This window comes from Homo sapiens, chromosome 11 (assembly GCF_000001405.40).
Source record: "Homo sapiens chromosome 11, GRCh38.p14 Primary Assembly".
NCBI lineage: Eukaryota > Metazoa > Chordata > Mammalia > Primates > Hominidae > Homo > Homo sapiens.
Window position 1 is genome coordinate 93658013 of NC_000011.10, and position 19470 is coordinate 93677482.

The 19470-nt window shown below is 37.9% G+C and overlaps 1 protein-coding gene across 19 annotated transcripts in view, besides 2 other annotated features; it reads left to right on the forward strand.

The window, feature by feature from the left end:
• Window positions 3434-3503: a silencer, noted in NCBI's record as "silent region_3839". NCBI's record gives its function as "represses an Ori minimal core promoter by ATAC-STARR-seq in GM12878 lymphoblastoid cells {active_cell/tissue: GM12878}" and the evidence as "EXISTENCE:reporter gene assay evidence [ECO:0000049][PMID:35858748]".
• Window positions 3664-3793: an enhancer, noted in NCBI's record as "active region_5397". NCBI's record gives its function as "activates an Ori minimal core promoter by ATAC-STARR-seq in GM12878 lymphoblastoid cells {active_cell/tissue: GM12878}" and the evidence as "EXISTENCE:reporter gene assay evidence [ECO:0000049][PMID:35858748]".
• CEP295 (centrosomal protein 295) overlaps window positions 3670-19470 on the forward strand; it is a 68677-nt gene continuing 52876 nt past the window's right edge. For 17 of the 19 annotated variants that reach the window (XM_011543047.2, XM_005274366.2, XM_017018470.2 and 14 more), the window contains exons 1-6: window positions 3670-3762; window positions 8670-8803; window positions 9595-9795; window positions 10796-10920; window positions 11665-11758; window positions 17559-17654. In XM_011543047.2, coding sequence (XP_011541349.1) covers window positions 8696-8803; window positions 9595-9795; window positions 10796-10920; window positions 11665-11758; window positions 17559-17654 — 624 coding nt within the window. In that variant the 5' untranslated portion in view covers window positions 3670-3762; window positions 8670-8695. Of the gene's footprint in view, window positions 3763-8669; window positions 8804-9594; window positions 9796-10795; window positions 10921-11664; window positions 11759-16068; window positions 16094-17558; window positions 17655-19470 lie in introns of those variants that run through there. The other 2 variants (XM_017018474.3, XM_047427794.1) reach the window with 1 other exon arrangement.

The following is a 19470-nucleotide window of genomic DNA, read 5'->3' on the forward strand; positions in this document are numbered from 1 at the left end:
ACAGGTGCACACCACCATACCTGGCTAATTTTTAAATATTTTTGTAGAGATTAAGTCTCCCTATGTTTCCCAGGTTGGTCTCAAACTCCTGGGCTCAAGCAATCCTCCTGCCTCGGCCTTCCAAAGTGCTGGGATTATAGGTGTGAGCCACTGTGCTCAGCCAAGATCTTAAACATTATTCTATACTATCTCCCAAGATGTCCAGATGTGTTTGTCTATGAGAATTTAAATAAAAATCTACAGCCCTTTTTAATTTGCAAAAAAATAGAAATTCCCATTCAAAGCAGCTTCAGTAGAAGACTGAATGGCTGCTACCAGTTTGCTGCAGAATAGGCAGGCATATTGACCTCAGGTATGGCTAGATCCAGGGACTTGAACACTATCCAAATTCTCTCTCTGCGCTCCTTGCTGTCACACTCATTCTTTCAGACCAGCTTGTGGGGGACCACCTGGGAAAGCTCCAGGTTTACATCCTAACATGAGCCCAGAGAGGAAAATATTTGTCTCTGCTGTCTCCAGTGCCAATTCCTGTGAAAGACTCTGATTGCCCCAATTAGGTAACATACCTGTACCTCGGTTGGTCACAATGGCAATGGAAACAAGAACTGCGATTTGTCCAGTCTGGGTCACATGCCTACCCCGGTAGCCTAGAGGTCTGGGTCTGTACCAGAGGAGGAGAGAAAGGTGTTCGACAGAAAAATAAAATAAATAACTGCTAAACTACCTAGTATGTGTATACCCCTCTAGAGTTTACAAAGTGCTCTCATATGATTCATGCCTTTTGAGTCTCACAACCATCCTATAGAGAGGCGACATGAAGTATTACTAAGAAACGTGGTGGATTAAGATGGCTACAAATTCTTTGTCACTGCCTCCATTGAGAGATGGAGTTCATTTCCCTTTCACTTGAATCTGGCCTGGCTCCATGTTACTTAACCAATAAAATGTGATACAACTTACTACAACTCGTTCTCTGCCTCACCTTTTAAAGGACTTGCAGCTTCCACTTTATTCCTCTGCGAATGCTCACTCTTAAGATGCTCCCTCTCCAAACTAGCCACAATAGAGTGAGATGTCCAATCTACATGGACTGGTCATGAGTGGACACTCCAGTCAACAGTTCCAGCTGAGCTCTCAGCTGCCAGCCAACGTCAGCTGCCAGCCATAGTAAGTGACCCATGTTGGACATTCCAGGGTGGTTCGGTTGGCAGCAATTGATCGCCAAAACAGAAATGAAGACTCATTGATTTGAGGTCCCACGGCTAGAAAGTATCTGTGGTAATGCTAAGCCAGATGCTCTGACTCTAAGCCCACTTGGGCTTTGATTCCTCACTGCCTTCTATTAAAAACAGAACAAGTCTCGATTCAAAATCTCCAAGTGTAGAATTTCTGCCAAGGATGCAGGTTGAGGAAGTGAAGCATGTAATTTGGTCATTTATTCAGCTTTGTTCATTTATGCCAGGCAACTGAACAAAGTGCACTCCTGGTTCTCAAGAAACTTAGAGTGTAATCAATAGAGAGCCCTCTAAACAGCTCATTTCAATAAGAACTCCTAAGTGCCATGGGGCAGCATGTGCAGGAACCCATGTCCAGGCACTAAACCTAGCCCAAGGGATGAAATAATATGCACATGTTTTATCGGGTATGGAAGAGTATCTCCGTGCCTGTATGGAGGATGCTGAAAAAATGTTTAAAATGAATACAAATATTCTTCAAGATAAATGTGACAGGAAATGGGGAGAGAGGCTGAGAAGAACCCTAATATTTGGGAAGGAAACGTGAATTCTAGTCCTGGTTCACCCTTGACTGAAATGTGCCCTTGGCCAAGTTGCTGAATCTCTCTGTAACTCAGTATCCTGATCTGTAAATCTGAGGTGGAATCACACTATTTCTTCCTGTACCTTCCTTCCTCCTACTCCATCCCTTTAAGTTTTGGTGTTCCTCGGAGTTTGGTTCTTTGCTCATTGCTCTTCTCACTCTGCAAATTCTCCCTAAGTGATCTCATCCATTCCGCTAGCGTTTGTTATTACTCATGTAACAAGGAAATCCCTTTATGCTTAGCCTAGTTCTTTCTGTGGGCTATCTACCGATGTATTCATCTGCTTACAGTACATCACTGGATGTTCTACAGGCACATGAAGTTCAATATACACAGAGCTTGGCTCATCACCCTACCCACTTAACTGCCATTTCTGATTTCTCCCTTTACAATCAAGAATCAACACTGCTACCCAAGCTAGTGGCCTATGAAATCAACTTCACTTTCCCTTTTCTCTCAATCTCACATGCAATTGTTTGTCAAGTACTGCTAATTTTGTGTCCTAAGTTTCTGAAATGCATCCCTTTGTCTAGATATCTCATAAACAGCTCAAATTCAAAATATTCAAAGCTTAACTTATTACTTCTCCCTCCTGGTTCTCTTCATGTGTGTTCCAGGAGGATGTTATCACTATCTACCCAGGTGCTAGGTATCTGGGACTTGGGCATCACCCTTGTTTTCTCCTCTTGTGCCTCCCATAACCAGGTAACCACCAATTCCTGATGTTTGGCTTCCTATTCAATCTACTCACCTCTCTCCATTCTCATTGCTATTATCTTTCACTTTCTGTAGTAGTATACGGCCTTCTGTCTTCACTCTCTCTGACCTTTTCCCCACTGTGCAGCCAGATCTGATCGTGTCAGCAACTTCCCATCCCCACCCCCCATTTTTAATCCTTTGATTCCTGATGTTTAACCCCCATGACCCAGACTGCAAAATCTAGTATAGGCATCATAATCCATCCAGAGTAACATAATGTACTCGGCACATAACAGATACTCAATAGGTATTAACCTGTGCTCACCGCCTGATTATTGGTTATTTACAGCAGATAAATCCGTGAGGTGCTCTCCGTGCGCTGTACCTCTGGAGGCACAGGGTAACATACGGCTCATTGTTGTTATGAGCTGGAGGCCTTAAATGAAAGCTATAAGACGTTAACTGCGCATAATAGTACCAATGAATTCCGTAGTCAGTACAGAAAAGGATGCATATCCCAAGATATCTTCATGATGGGGCCTTAAAACAAAAGTCACCCTCATGGCTCTGCACTTTTTTTTTTTTTTTTTAGACAGGCTTTGGCTCTGTCGCCCAGGCTGGAGTGCAGTACTGGCGGGATCTCGGCTCACTGCAACCTCCACCTCCTGGGTTCAAGCGATTCTCCTGCCTCAGCCTCCCGAGTAGCTGGGATTACAGGCGCCCACCACCACGCACGGCTAATTTTTGCTGTTGTCGTATTTTTTGTAAAGATGAGGTTTCACCATGTTTTTAAAAGGACTTGGTCTTGAACTCATAACCAAAAATACATAACCTCGAACTCTTGGGCTCAAGTGATCCTCCCGCCTTGGCCTCCCAAAGTGCTGGGATTACAGGCGCGAGCCACCGAGCGCGGCCCATACGGGAAAACGTCAAAGCCTGACAGGTGTGACAAATAATGGGCCCCTAGGCAGGCTGGGGCTGGCGCGTGCCTGTGCGCGTGCGCGGGGCGCGGGGTTTTTAACACCGCGCAGCCTTCCCGGCGGCCCCCGAGGAAGGCGGGACAGGGCCTATTCCCGCGGTTTGGTCCGGCCATTGGCGGGCGGTTTGAATGACGGAAGTGACGGCGGCTCGGCGATGGCTCTCCCGCAGGCGCAGAAACGGCTGCTGGGCAGCTGATGGGCAGGAGCTTACCAGGCTGGCTTGCTCTGAGCTGCGGTTACTGTGTCCAGGCCCCGGGTTCTCAGGTGAGTCAGGGATGCACTGGCTTCCCAGTCGCCCCGTAGGAGCATGACTCCCCGAGGCCCAAGAGCTGGGATTGTATTCCGGAGGAATGGGATCCCAGGAAGGCGCCTTGTTGCGAACGCAGGTACGGCTCGCGTTTCTCAGGCTCCGCAGGCCGTGGGCCCTGCCCGCGGTCGGGCTGGCGGCTGTAAGGAGTGTCCGGACCAGACCCGGTAACTCAGTGCGAGAGGCTTTGCGCGCTCTCCTGGGGTCGGGTCGCGCGAGCTTCCCACGCAGCCTCCCCTGTCGCGGAGCTTCCGTGTCGGGGGAGGGGCGCTTCCCCCAGATCACCCGCGGACATGGCCTGCCACCTGGTAGCTGTTAAAAGAGCCTTGCCTGGATCGTTTCATGCAAAGAGCACGCTCTCTTTTGGTGTCTGCCACCTTAATCTCACAGTTATTCAATCCTGTCACAAACTCAACTTTTAAAACAATGGTGAACTTTTGAGTCCTTAATACTTAGAGTGTATTTGAAGACTTCACGCTAAGTCACATAGACGTCAGAACAAACCTTTTGGGGTAGATATTATTATTCCCTTTATACAGTTTAAGAAAACGAAACCAAAGTGACTTCAGTGACTTGGCCAGTATCTTCCTGCTAATAAGTGGCAGTGTTGGGTCTTGAACCCAGATCTTCCAAGTTTAGTGTTAATTTTGTGATTACTATGTACCAGGAGCCATTTAATCCTCAGGACGAAATCTTGCAAGATAAGTAGTATAATCTTCAATATTGGATAGTAATAAAATGTAGAATTTAAAAATCCATATTACTAAGAATAAATAATTAATAAACAAGTAAATGGGGCAGCAGGGAAAACTTCCTTACAGCAGGATTCCGATTGATAATTGTAGAAGGAATAATGGAAATAGAAAATACTATTTGGTAAACACCACAGTAGTTGTTTCAGACAACAGTCATCAATGGATACTAACGTCAATGGGCAAAAGTATGATGAAAAGCATATTTCTGTAGCCTCTACTCTGTCTTCATGAGATATTTATAAAGGAAAAGTAGTAACTACAGAGGAGAAACCTGGTGGACATCATCTTAACCAAGTGACCAAAATTCAGCATCATTTACCTCTTGATAACAATGCACTGAAAAGGTGCCTAATCAATTCTGTGGTGTTCTTGCCAAAAATACATAACCTCAGTTTAATCACATAAGATTAGACAAATCTAAATGGAGGGACATTCAACAAAGTACTTGGCCAGTATTTTCAAAAATGACAGGGTCTTGAAAAGACAGACTGAGAAACTGTCCCAGATTAAGGGGGACATGACAACTTTGACATGAGAATGTAACTCACATATCTTAATCTCCTGCATTCTGAAATCTCCATTTGCACTGAGGCCATGCTTCCCATGGGCTGCTCCTAGCCACTGACAGTGGCAGGCCTGTTCCTGAGAATCTCCCCACGGGTTCTTGCTGAACATTTCTTATACTGCATGGCTGTCTAAGAGGGGTCTACCCATTGTTACTTCCCTCCATTCAGTGTTAGACTTACACTGAAGTCTGAGGCGCTTGTAACTTTTATCAGCTCCCTCCCATTTTCCCTCACACACGCATTTCTCCTAATAAAATATTTGCAGGTTTACTCCCATCTTAGCGTCTGCTTTTTAGATGACACACAGTTACACAGCAACAAATGCAATGTGTTATATCCTTGGATTGGCTTCTGGTCCAGAAAATAGACATTAGTGTGATAATTGACAAAAATTGAATACTGCCTGTAGATTAGTAAAAAATATTGTGTCAGTGTTAATATTCAGATTTTGATCATTGTACCATGGTTATGTACAAGACGTTGACATTTGGAGAAGCTGGGGAAAGGGCAAATGGGAATTCTAAGCCTGAAATTTCCAAATAAAAAGTTTAAAAAATTTAAAAATTATACACAAGAAGAAACAGTTATTCTATCGCATTTTAGGAGCTTAAAAATAATAAATGTTTATATGTTTTTCAATAATCCTCTGAGATGAAGTAATGGATACCTAAAATTTGAAATATTAGGATTTTTTTCCTCTTAAAGTATAAGAATAAAACACAAATCTAGGTATACCATTTGAGGAATTTTTACATATGTATACACTTGTCTAAACCATCATACAGATCAAAATATATAAATTTTCAGTACCCCAGCAAGCTTCTTTGTGCCATCTCCGAGTCAGTAACTTCCAGTAAGGTAACTTTATTTTTACCTCTCATGGATTAGTTCTGCTTGTTCTTGAACTTTATATAAATCAATTTTGTTGTACTTTTTTGTGTCTGGCTTTTTAAAAATTCAGCAATATTATGTCTATGAGATTCATCAGGAATTAGTCTTAATTATTTAAATATGAGGGAATTTCTTAGACCTTCAGACAAAATAATAAAGATACATTGTGAAGATTAATCTTGTTCTTTTTTCTTCTTTGTTAAATTTTCTGTTTTTTAAATTCTCACTCTCAAAAAACAACAGCTTAAATAAAATTTTCGCCACTCCACATATTTTTGTGTGTTGGAAAGTTAGGAGCCATTTGGAATAAGGAAACCAGATTCTTCCCTTGGCTCCGCCACTAGATGTTGTCACTCAGGGAAAGTCCTTTAACCCAAGAGGCCTTGTTTCTTCATGTATAGCATGAAAAATATAATCAGTACTTTAGTTACCATTACCAAAGCCGTGTGAATATTAGATGAGTAGGATGCATTAAAAGATTTTTTTAATGCCAGCAGTTAGTCCTTTTTGGTGTTAGAGTCTTATTGAAGGTTGTGATGATTGTGTATAGCTCTGTAGCACTTCACATAAATTAACTCATTGAGTCATTCATTCAGTCAACACACTTACTGAAGTAACTACCTATGGGCGAGACACTGTTTTCAGGCTATGGACATAAAATGGTGAATAAGTCCATTCTGCCCTGATGAGCTTACATTCTGATGGAGAAGTCACTGGAAAGGTATTAGTCCCTGTTAGGTAATCCCACAGTCTCCTAGCCCCTATTCTGTTTACACCTGGTTGAAAACATTGTGCATCCATAGTATGTGAAATATTACCTGGTAGTTATTTATTAAATTTAATTGAATATTAAAATTTTTATTAAAAAACCCATAGCCATTGTCCTTCAATTGTTAGGAATCTAACTAGAAAGAGCAAACTGTAATTGATGAAAAACTACAGGAGGTAATACCAAGACAACATAAAATTAGTCCCCATCTGAATGTATAGGTAATAATGTATTAGAGTTGGGCAAATCAGGAGTGGGAAATTGCAACAGGAATTATCAGAGGACAGCTTCGTAGAGGAAGGAGGGCTTAAGCCAGCTTTAGAAAGATGTAAATATTCAGTAACTGAGATTGTCTGCCTGGTCATTGTGAGGGAGACCTGAGAAATGTTGATTGTCTCAGATAAAATGCTCATGTACTCATGTAAAGTGTCTAATTTTTTGGAAATGGCAGTAATAGGAGCCAGTTAATATCAGAATTACCTGAGGAGGGTATTCAAATTATAGAACTATAGATTCTTATATTTATTCCATTTCTTTTTGCCTCGTTCCCCCAAATAGGAGCATGTTATAATCTAGGGAGGAGAGAGAGAACACAGTGTGAACGGTAGCAACAGAAGAATAGATCTGGGCCGGGCGTGGTGGCTCACACCTTTAATCCCAGCAACTGGGGAGGCTGAGGCAGGTGGATCACTTGAGGTCAGGAGTTCGAGGCCAGTCTGGCCAACATGGTGAACCCCTGTCTCTACTAAAAATGCAAAAATTAGCTGGGTGTGATGGCGCATGCCTGTAATCCCAGCTACTCAGGAGGCTGAGGCAGGAGAATCACTTGAACTCAGGAGACGGAGGTTGTGGTAAGCCAAGATTGTGTCATTGCACTCCAACCTGGGCGACAGAACGAGACTCCATCTCAAAAAAAAGAAGAATAGATCTGGAAAACTAAACGCTTGATACAGCCGAGCAAGTCATTCATATAAAAATTACGTCACTATAATTATTGAAGAATTGTTTACTGTAGATTATAGAACATGGGATTGATGTGATTTCATGAGGTAACAATGACACTTGGTGATCAAGTTATATGCAGTAGACTGGGAGTTGAATCTAGGAACAAAGAACCCTTGAAATTACAGCAACCTTGCTAGTTATGAACAAGTTATGAAGGTTCTAAAGTGTCAGATTATAGTTTTGAAAACATTTATTCTATGCTAACATCTTTTTAGGTCTTTGTGCTTTTTCACATTTAAGCTCAGTAAACTCTGGAAATGCTAACCAGGAATAAGTCAGGTCCAGATACTCGAGGTAGACAATCTGCTATAAACAGGAGAAAACTTTTCTGAGTAATTCTGATTCAGTCTTCATTTCCACTTTCCCACCCTTCTGAGTATCACTGATCTAAGTGTGAATTTATAATTGCTATTTGTAAATAAGTTGGACTTCGTTTACTCAAATTTTCCTTGCATGTATATAACCCTTTAAATATCAAAAGTATTAACACGAATTTTAAAAATTTTCTGAGCAGGCATGGTGGCTCATGCCTGTAATCCCAGCACTTTGGAAAGCTGAGGTAGGTGGATCACTTGAGGCCAAGAGTTCGAGACCAGCCTGGCCAACATGGTGAAACCCCATCTCTACTAAAAATACATAAGTTAGCTGGGCGTGGTGGCATGCACCTGTAATCCCAGCTACCCTGGAGGCTGAGGCATGAGAATCGCTTGAACACGGGAAGCAGAGGTTACAGTAAGCTGAGATCGCACCACTGCCCTCCAGCCTGGGTGACAGAGCAAGACTCTGTCTCAAAAAAAAACAAACAAAATTATTCTAATCTTTGCTGCCCTATTTTAATGTTACATTATTTTTATAGACATTTTCCTTTTTGAATTCAGAACTGTCATACATAAAGTACACAGAAATGAAGAGAAAAGTCGTGAATACTCACAAGCTGAGATTGAGTCCTAATGAGGAAGCCTTCATTTTGAAGGAAGATTATGAAAGAAGGCGAAAACTAAGATTGCTACAGGTATGACTTATTTGTAATAAAGTTTTAAATTCCTTTCTTCCTCAAATTACTTGTATTCTTTTACATTAGAGTGTTCTAAATGTTGTATTTAAAAACCTCTTCTGGGTATACGAGAGCCCTGGTTATTTGGTATTAACTAGTTTTGGAACACTTGAAAAATAGGCTGAGATGGTTAAGTACATTGTAGAAGAGTTGGAAGATAGGTATTATTTGACTCGAATATTGAAAATAGCTCTTTATCTTTTTTAAAAATGGTCTGTAATTGGTAACAGGAAGCTTAGATGACTTTGAAGAATGCTAATTGGAAAGATTATTAGCTGCTGAAACAAATTTATCAGGAAATTGCAGATAACCCTTTTCTAGAAGTGTTTTTAAAGTAAGTTTTTGTGAAGTATGTTTCAGGCACCATTCTGTCTAGAATCAGAAATGATGTACAACAGAAATGGAGTTCTCATCTGGCTCTGTCTGTACTCTGGGCTATAGATTTTGTTGAATCATATTTATCGCTTTAGCTTTTATAGGTTATTAGAGTGATAATGGCAGTCCTTTTGGGAGTGGGCGCTGAATAAAAGCTATCAGTTTGGAGACATTAGATATAGTCTTGAGATTTTTACTTTTTGTACATTCACTCAGATTTTCTGCTTTAAATAGTCTTTATCTAATACAAGATGAGTATCAAAGAGAGTTGACAGACTTAAGAGAATTCATTTGAGTTCCTCTTTCCAAATAGCTTTTCAAAAAAGTTTAAGTAAACCTCCTTTCATATAACCTGTTAAATATGCATTCTTTAGGTTCGAGAACAAGAAAGAGATATCGCCTTACAGATAAGAGAAGACATAAAACAGAGGAGAAATCAACAATTTACACGTTTGGCAGAGGAGCTAAGGGCAGAATGGGAAGAATCACAAACTCAGAAAATACAGAACTTGGAAAAACTGTATTTGGCAAGTTTAAGAAGTATGGGAGAGGGACATCGACAGGCCAAAGAAAATGTGAGTGAGATCTTATTTGACTACCCTGTTGTGGCAGTAATATTAGTAAAAAGTAAATTATAGTTGTTGAATGCTTTTCTGATAACATTTTCATGCATTGAATTTCTTTGGGGCAGCTTGAACTTTTTTATAAATTTAATGTAATTTGTGAATAATAGGCTCATTTCTTACTAAGAGTTATTTCAAGTAAAATCCATGTCAAATAAAATTGGTCTTCCTATGATGTTCAAGTTAGCATTATTCTCTTCCAGTACTCCTCTATCTGGGGAAATAATAATCTTCTGAATCAGAAGTTGTTGTCCATCTCAGGCATTTTTTGACAGATTTGGTGGGGTGAATTCAACCCCCCAACAAACATTTTTTGATGACTTTCAGAAAGTCACAGTAAGTCTGCCCCATTATTTTGATTTATTGTGATTTATGATGTGGAAATACTACAGTCCCAGAATCAGTCACATACAGTAAACAAGCTAGTTACAAAGAAGGTAAATCTTTGATAACAACTAGTGAGAAAGAAAATATCTTAAGACTGTGGCAATCTGTTTCATGGTCCTTGGTTTTAGTCTGTGTTTTTAGTAATAGCCGTAAGTTCTGACTCAGGTTTTTGTGGTTTTATGCATGCCACATTAAGTTTGTGCCTAATGCAATGTTTCCCAAACCTCTGTTATTTGAATACCATGTTCACAATTTTTGCCCTGACTGGGAAACTACCCATATCACTATATATTTTACGTACTTTAACCATGTCCTAAGTAGTTCGATATCCTATTTATATTTTTGTAATAATGTTAATTGATTGCATTAACTTTACATTAAAATGTTTGTGTTTGTCCCCCCTAATATGGCATATCATCAGTGGTACTGTTGTCATGCTCTGGGAAACACTGCTATAGTATGTAGAAAGAAGATGACAAAATTGATAAATCACTTCTGATATCATATGAGACACATTTCTATTATTCTTGTTTAACATGACATTTTAAGTAATATATATTTTTAGGAACCTGATTTGGATGCTTTGGCACAGCGGGCAGCAGAAAGGAAAAGAAAAGCAGATTTGAGGCATAAAGAAGCCTTGAAAGTACAGAAAAATCAAAAAGAAATATTACTGAAACAAAAAACCTGGTAAAGTAATAATTTTTACTATAATCTCAACTGAAACTAACATGGTTGAAAGTAGAGGATACATAGGATACTGTGTAAGCAAATATTAAATAAACATAGTAGCATATTCATTGCATTTGTTAAACTTGATTTAAAAATAATGTTGGGGACAGGGAATGATTTGCTTAGGTGAACATAGTAACTAATGAGCTTTCTTTTCTAGTTGTAGTTTGAGTTGAGTTTAGCAGCAGTTACTAAGTTTCTGAAAAAATATATGGCTACTTCAGAATGCATGTCAACCAATGTCTGTTTCCGATGTAAACATGAAATAAAAATTGATGTGATTAAGAACATTAAAAGAGGTTGTAGACTCTGGAAGTCATTAGTATTTTTTGCATGTTGTAAAAATTAAAGGGCCATTCACAGGAAACGTGAGTGAAGCAAAGTAAAAAATTAAGGGCCCTGTTACTAGTTAGCAACAGCCATTTTTAACAACATTTCTGTTTTTTTTTTTTTCACTCTAAAGAACATTATAAGTTTCTTGGGTTGGTCCCCACCATAGAGCTTTCTGTCTTTAGATAGGCCTCTCTCAATTTGTAAACATTTTCTTAACATATGTATAGACTCTTTACACATGTAAAGCTTACTGAGCCTGTGGAATCAGACTAGAGGATTTCTTGAGCCTATGACTTACATATTTTTAACCCTGTTGTACTATAATATTATCACTGAGAGATTAATTGATGACATCTCTTGTTTCTTAAGGCATATAAAAGCTCGAAAGGAAGCACTGCTTGTGGAAAAAGAGAGATCAGCCAAAATTACAAGTCTGCCACCTCCTCCTCCAACTCTTTTTGAGGTGAGTTTGAGTATTAAGAGGAACTAGGTCATAATTCTTCTTTACTATTATAATTCAGTGGAGGTCAGAATGACTATCACTTAAACTTAATTGTACAAGTTTTCTTGTACAATTAAAAACTTGTACAGGAGTATATCTGGAGTATGTTAAAATAATTCTAGATATCATTTCACCTGTAAATACTTTAGTATGTATCTCTGATGTATAAGGACTTTTTTCTTAGTATAATACTAATATTGTTTCCAATATTATTTAATACCCAGTATTTGTTCAGCCTTCCTCAATGATGTCAAAAAAATTTTGTTGTTTGGAAAACTATAATGGTTTTGGTTTTGAAAAATCTTTTAATAATTCTGCCTTTTGAAAAAATACCCTTTATTTATTTATTGGGGGAAAAAACTAAACTATTCGTCCATTAGGCTTTCCCACACTCTGAATTTGGCTTATTTTAAATGGTCAATATTTTACAGATAAGTTTCAGTTAAGTTAATAAATTTACATAAGATTATAAAGTATCCAGGTGTGATTTTAAAAAAGAAAAGAGGAAAAAAATATTATAAAATAATAAGGATCTATTTTTTATGGGAGTAAAATGTGTGCTTTTGTGATTTGAAGCTTATTTTTTTTAAAAAAATGTAATTAAAGCAGAAATTTTTTAAAATACTTGTTCTCCACATTAGCTTGTTATAGTTATTGAAATGGCTATTTGGATGATTGTCAAAATTACCTAGTTATTTTTATCTGAAGAATGAAGTAGAAGTAAACCCAGAAATACATAGTTGTACATACAAGTATATTCTGTATAAGCATAAGTACCAGATACTCACTTCTTAGGCCTTTCAGTTTGTCAGCCTTCCTGCTTGTACGTTGAGCCATCTACCATGTAACATTTGATCCAACAAAATTCAGACGGAAAAGTTGTATTTCAGTCACTCCTTCGGTACAAAGTGACATGATAAAAGCCAGGCAATGTATTATCCATGATGCCTTTTGATTATTTTTGTCTTAATTCTTAGTATTTATAACAAGCCAAAGTCAAAAATTTATAAAAAGTAAACAAAACTCTGTAAGTGCTTTGACAAGCATGAATTAATCAGTGGGCATGAACTATTTAGTTCTTTTTTTCTTTTGAGGCAGAGTCTTGCTCTGTCACCCAGGCTGGAGTGCAGTGGTGCAATCTTGGCTCACTGCAGCCTCTACCTCCTGGGTTCCAGCGATCCTCCCACCTCAGCCTCCTAGGTAGCTGGGATTATAGGCATCTGCCACCATGCCCCGCTAATTTTTCTGTTTTTAGTAGAGACGGGGTTTCACCATGTTGGCCAGGCTGGTCTCGAACTCCTGACCTCAGATGATCCACCCACCTCTGCCTCCCAAAGTGCTAGGATTACAGATGTGAGCCACTGCACCCAGCCTCGTTCCTTTTAGGAAAACAGGATATATTCCTTGTTTTTCCTCTCTGCCAGTTTTCAGAGTAAAGGGTTGGGGTAATAATCAATGCCATTGGTGGTAAATGGGTTTTTTTTTCCTTTCTCTTTTGTTACTATCACTGTTAACTTGTGGGGGTTTTTTACTCAATATTACATAGTCAATTATAGTCATTCTTTTTCTTCTCACTGATGTTCGTAATATCTGAAATTTGGTCAGCAGGAGACTTGAAGTTGTTTCTTGCGTCCCCGTGACTCCATGAGCATTTCCTTGCTCTGTGCCCCAGCAAATGACCTAGGCTTAATTTACTCTGTCCCGTATCTGGTATCTCCAAAGACCCCTGATTCTTTTTAGTGGAGAAGTGGTACTTATAAACTAAGATCTGGGTGATTATATTCTTGTTTCACTAAAAGGCATTATTTTAGAAAAATACATTACCCAAGCCAATAAAGGTGTTTGGGATAAGGCAGTGTTTCTGAATGTCTTGAGATGGTTGTGAATTTATGGCATAGAAGGGAGGGATAGGATTTTAGTTTGGGAAAAGCTAGGTTGTGGGGTATTTGGGGGCCAGGGAAATGCACCATATAAGAATATTGTGTCACATACACAGGATATAGATGCATCTGTATCACTGTTTCTCCAAGCAGATAAAAATATAAATGCTGAAAATCCTGGGGAAATAAACCTAGACTGTTTAGTCTTCTCAAACCAAGGTCTTTCCTTAATTTAAGAAAATATTATTTTTTGAGAGAGCTATTTACATGGTGAAGAGAATTGATACTTCTTGTGTACCTAAGATTTTATTTATGTCAGGTTTTTTTATTCATATCTAATTTAATCACATTAGCCCTGCATGTTAGATATTTCCATTTAACAAATGAAGAAAATTGAAGGTCAGAAGTTAAGTAACGTAACCAAAGTCCTTTAATAGGTAAGTGCGATAACCAGAGTTTATGTCAAGGTCTATTTCTATAAAGCTCATGATCTTTTTACTGTGACACTTAGCTTCCCGTGAATATACTTCAGAGTTCATGCTAACTGTTCAAGTTAACTACTTATATATTAAAGTCTAGGAATGTAAACAACCATAATCTTTTCATAGGTCTGTTAAAGAATGAAGTTTGTATTGAAAACCCTGAGATGCTATGAAGACTTCTCATGTATCTATACCAGATGCAAGAGAAAAATGAGCTTTGTTTTACTTCTTCCCTTGCTTATACCTTTTTTTTTTTTTGAGACGGGATCTCACTATGTTGCCCAGGCTAGAGTGCAGTGGCTCTTCACCAGCCCCATGATAGCTCACTGCAGCCTTGAACTCCCAGGCTAAAGCAATCCTCCTGCTTCCGCTTCCTGAGTAGCTGTGACTACAAGAATGTGCCACAGTGCCTGGCATTTTTTTTCTTCTTTTCCATTGCTGCATGAGCCAGTGTCAGGTACTCCAGAGTAGAAAGCTGGTTTTGTCCTGTACTTGGGTAGATAAGGCTAGAAATAGTTACTGTGGAGCAAAACTAAGGCTGGAAGATAGAACACAGGAAGTAAATTAAGTGATTTTAAATTATTAACAGATCATCCTAATTCTGCCAGGCTAAGGACTGATTTCACTAAAAACTTAGGTGCAATTCACTGGAAATCCTGTTATAATCAATAAGGATTCATAGTAATCAAAATCTCAAATCCCAATTTTGGGAGGATTCCAAATTCAATCTATACATAATTGCCTTTACTCTGGAAGTACTGGTACTTTAAAATGTGTAAACTGAATCCCATTTGTATATCAAATTACATCATTTTAGAGACTTGTTTTCTTCAGAGTTCTTCCTTGTCAAGAAGCCTATGGTTTATTTTTTCAAGGCATTGATTTAAAGTCTACTAAGATTCTTCGTAGAGTGAAGCATTCTAATGTGTACTACCATCTCTGAATTTTTGTTTTGTGACTTCAGTTTCTTACTGAACTTTAATATTAACTAGTTAAAGCTGAGTGTGGTGGCACCTGCCTTTGATCCTAGCTACTCAGGAGGCTGAGTTGGGAGGATTCCTTGAGCCCAGGAGTTCAAGACCAGCCTGGGCAACATAGCAAGACCCTGTCTCAAATATATATATGTATATGTGTATATGTATGCTAGTTAATGTTTTCATTAGTGGTCAGTTTAATCCTTTACCTAAATGATAAGACCCTGAATAAGGTCCTCTATTGTACATATCTGGATGTATATCCAGGTATTTGCCAATTAGTTATCTTCTGACTGGTCTAGGTAATTCTCAACTTTGGCTGTACATTTATCACCTGTGCAGCTTTTTTTTTATTTTTTATTTTTTGAGACAGAATCTTATTCTGTCGCCCAGGCTGGAGGGCAGTGGTGCAGTCTCGGCTCCCTGCAACCTCTGCCTCCTGGGTTCAAGCGATTCTCCTGCCTCAGCCTCCCAAGTAGCTGGGATTACAAGTGTGTGCCACCATGCCTGGCTAATTTTTGATTTTTAGTAGAGAAGGGGTTTCTCCATGTTGGTCAGGCTGGTCTCAAACTCCTGACATCAAGTGATCTGCCTGCCTTGGCCTCCCAAAGTGCTAGGATTACAGGTGTGAGCCACAACGCCTGGCCGCAGCTTTTTAACAATGCTAATACTGGGCTCTGTTCCATGGATTCTGATTTAATTCGTTTGGTGTGGGGCCAAGACACGAGAAGTTCTTAAAAACTACTCAGATAATTCTGCTCACATCAGACTGTACATTTTTACTTGGATTTTCTTAATCCCCCCTTCTTTTTTTTTTTTCTTTTTGAGACAGATTCTTGCTCTGTCGCCCAGGTTGGAGTGCAGTGGCACAATCTTGGCTCATTTTGCATCATTGCAACCTCCGACCCCTAGGTTCAAGCAGTTATCTTGCCTCAGCCTCCCTAGCAGCAGGGATTACAGGTGTGTGCTACCATGCCCATCTAATTTTTGTATTTTTAGTAGAAATGGAGTTTTACCATGTTGGCTAGGCTGGTCTCAAACTCCTGACCTCAAGTGATCCACCTGCCTTGGCCTCCCAAAGTGCTGAGATTACAGGCATGAGCCACCGCGCCCAGCCCCTTCTTGTCCTTTATATTGTTTCTGTTCACTTGAGTCCTCCTCATCATTCCACACTCATATATGTTATAGCTAAAACTTTGGTTAATTCTCAACCTATTCTTATTTAAACTTTTCTCCCTCCCAACCTGTGTTGCATTTGTGATGTCATTGAATTAGCCAGGCATGGTGGTACATGCTTGTAGTCCTAGCTATGGTAGGCCGAAGCGTAAGGATCGCTTGAGCTCAGGAGTTACAGTGCAGAGTACAATGCCACTGTACTCTGGCCTTGTCAACAGGCCTTAAAAAAATTAAAAGTGCTTTTTATACATTAATTGATTCTTACAGTAATTGTCACAATGATCATATGGTATAGCGATAGCTATAAACCCACTTTTCTTGAGAAAGCCGAGGGACAGAAAAGTTGAGGGACTTTGCTAAGTTTTCACTACTGGGATATAATACAGAAGACATCCAGCAGAAGTGTTAGCATTTCTTTGTGGATATTTTTTTCATCAAATTATCTGTAAAATGCATGGTTTATTATTTAATTTATGTGTAATCGTTAGAACTTCTAGTTAGAACTGTTACTGTGAGCTCCTTGAAGCCAGGGGCCATTATTTTATTTTACTTCTCGTTGTCGTTCACAGTGCCTTGTGTAATGTTTAACACATAGTAGGCACTTAATATTCTTTGTCAGTTTAGTTAATTAATTTAACATCAGTATGTGATAGGTTGTGATGGACTGAATCTGCCTTTACTACAAAATACAGGAAAGGGAAGGGGGAAGGTAGTTTACTTTCATTCTTCTGAGAGTTGTTTTGTTCTGGAGTAAGTGTAATTTAAATATATTGGCAAGTGTTTCAGGACCAAAATTCAAAATACGTCATTAAACATTGAGAAAATAAGACTAATGTGAACTACAGTAGAATTTTTGTGATTAGATATGGAAGAGGACATAGTAGTGCATGTTGTTGTCTTATAAATATAATGAAGTGCTTTTCATTTCATTTGATATGGCCTGTAAGCCCTTCTATATTCAGGAGATTTAAAGATGAAATTTCTCTATAAATAACTTAAAAATTGAGATGAATAAAACACATTTAGTTAGCGACACCTTGAAGATGATTTGAAATACTGATGAATCTGGTACTTTTATTAAAATTTGAAGTAATTTAACTCAAAAAATTTGATTTCATTATGAGCAGATATTTAGCATGTTTTGGATGCGGAGAACTCATTAAAATACAAAATTACTTTTTTTGCATTGGATTCAGCTTTAAGTGAAAATTAATGCTTTTAACCTATTTTTTTATGTTCTCTTTTCCAGAACATCGAAGTAAAAAGAATTTCTGCAGTCAAAACCAATAGTTCTACCTACCATCATCTTCACACTTTTGTGAATAGAGAGACAGACACAAAACGGGTGATTGACTTATTGTTTCTTCATGCCCTCGCTTTATTATTTCTGTGTGCATTGAATTGAATTATATCTTAGTTATATGTATGGTGTTCCCAGATTTCAAAATTTGGACAATTGATAATAATAATCAAAACCTTTTAAATGCTTTGAATTTTCATGTCAGGCATATGATGGTTTAATATGAATTAAAGAAACTAGTTGGCTATTTAAATGGTTATTTTAAAATAGCAGATTTTAAAGCTTTTTTTATCATAAAATATTACATGCTATTTGTGGAAAATTTGGAACTGTACATATAAGTGTAAACTATTGGGAAAACACCAATTCTGTCACCAAAGTGGAATATAGTTAATGTTTTAATAAATTCATTATAACCTTTATTTAAATATAAACATATACACACACTTTTCAAAACATGATTTTTAGTGGCCACTTAATATTTCATGGTAGCATTTATTTAACCATTATTTTATTTTTTGCTTCTGTAAGTAATGTAAGCATTATCTTGCACGTTTTTATCCACATCTCTGATTATATATAAATTCCTGAAAGAGAAAGTATTGGCTCCAAACTGTGTAACATTTGATACAGATCATTAAATTGCTTTTTAAAAGCATCAGCAACATAGGAGAATGACCACCTTACCATAGCCTTTTCTGCACTGAATATTATGTTTTAAAAATTATTGCCAGTCTTAAGAGTAACAAATGATATATTGTTATTATAATTGCTATTTCTCTGTGTCAGTGGGGGTTTTAATTTTTTTCATGTTGAATATATTTCTCTACTAGGAAAATAAATTTTATAGCATTCCTGTGGCATTTAGAATGCAACAAATACACATTTTGGTTGACTGCTTAATAGCAGGTATTAAAATATTCAGTTAAGAACTAAAATGAATATCATCACAGAATGAACTTCTAAGATGCAAGAGTAAATCTGAGATTTATTTAAAATTGTAAAGTATTATTACAGTTTCGATATTATGATGTAGGAACAATAACTTCAATTTGTTGCTAACTGCTTTACTGTTTACTGCATTTTTGTGATTTGAAAAGATGCTACCTTTTAACTAAGATTGATGATGAATTTTTTTTTACCTAACTCTGTCAGCATAGGGTGCTGCTGATGGTATTAAATTAATATCCATAAGCTTTCTTTTTTGATAGTAACCAGAAGGCCTACCTCCTTTTCAATTTTTGGACTTAAAAATTAGATCAGTAGTTATAATGATAAAGGGTTAGAAAAAAGTTCGGGACCACAAACAAATTTTGTTTCTAACAGTTTTATGAAAGTATTCCCACAAACTAAAGCTTTGTGTACTGAATGAAGATATGATTTCTGAATATTTTCAGAAATGGGTTTATTACTGAACACATTTTTATTCGAATATTTTCTTTTATTTGCTGCTTTACTGTATCACTTAGGAAAAGTCTGTCCTTAAACTTTGGATTTAAAATGTGATGACCAATGTGCTTGGCTTTCAAGATAAAATTACCTCTGAATTTTCATCTGCACTCAACTTATATCACATGCACAATAATTTTAGCATCTTCCCTGGAGGAGTACGATATGATCTTTACAGCAGGTATCATATAAAAAATATTTGCACGCTTGGCATATATGTTTGGGTATTTTTCTTTAGCAGCTTTCTGCAAATAAACTTTCATTTGTTCAGTCAGCCTTTTTAGCACATAAGAGCTGCTATTGTGTGTGTGTGTGTTTTTAATATCCTGATAAAGTAATTCCAAAATCTTTTATATGTCATAATATATATCTTTGGCTGAAGAAGATTTATGAAAGTGGCCTGCTGTAGTCC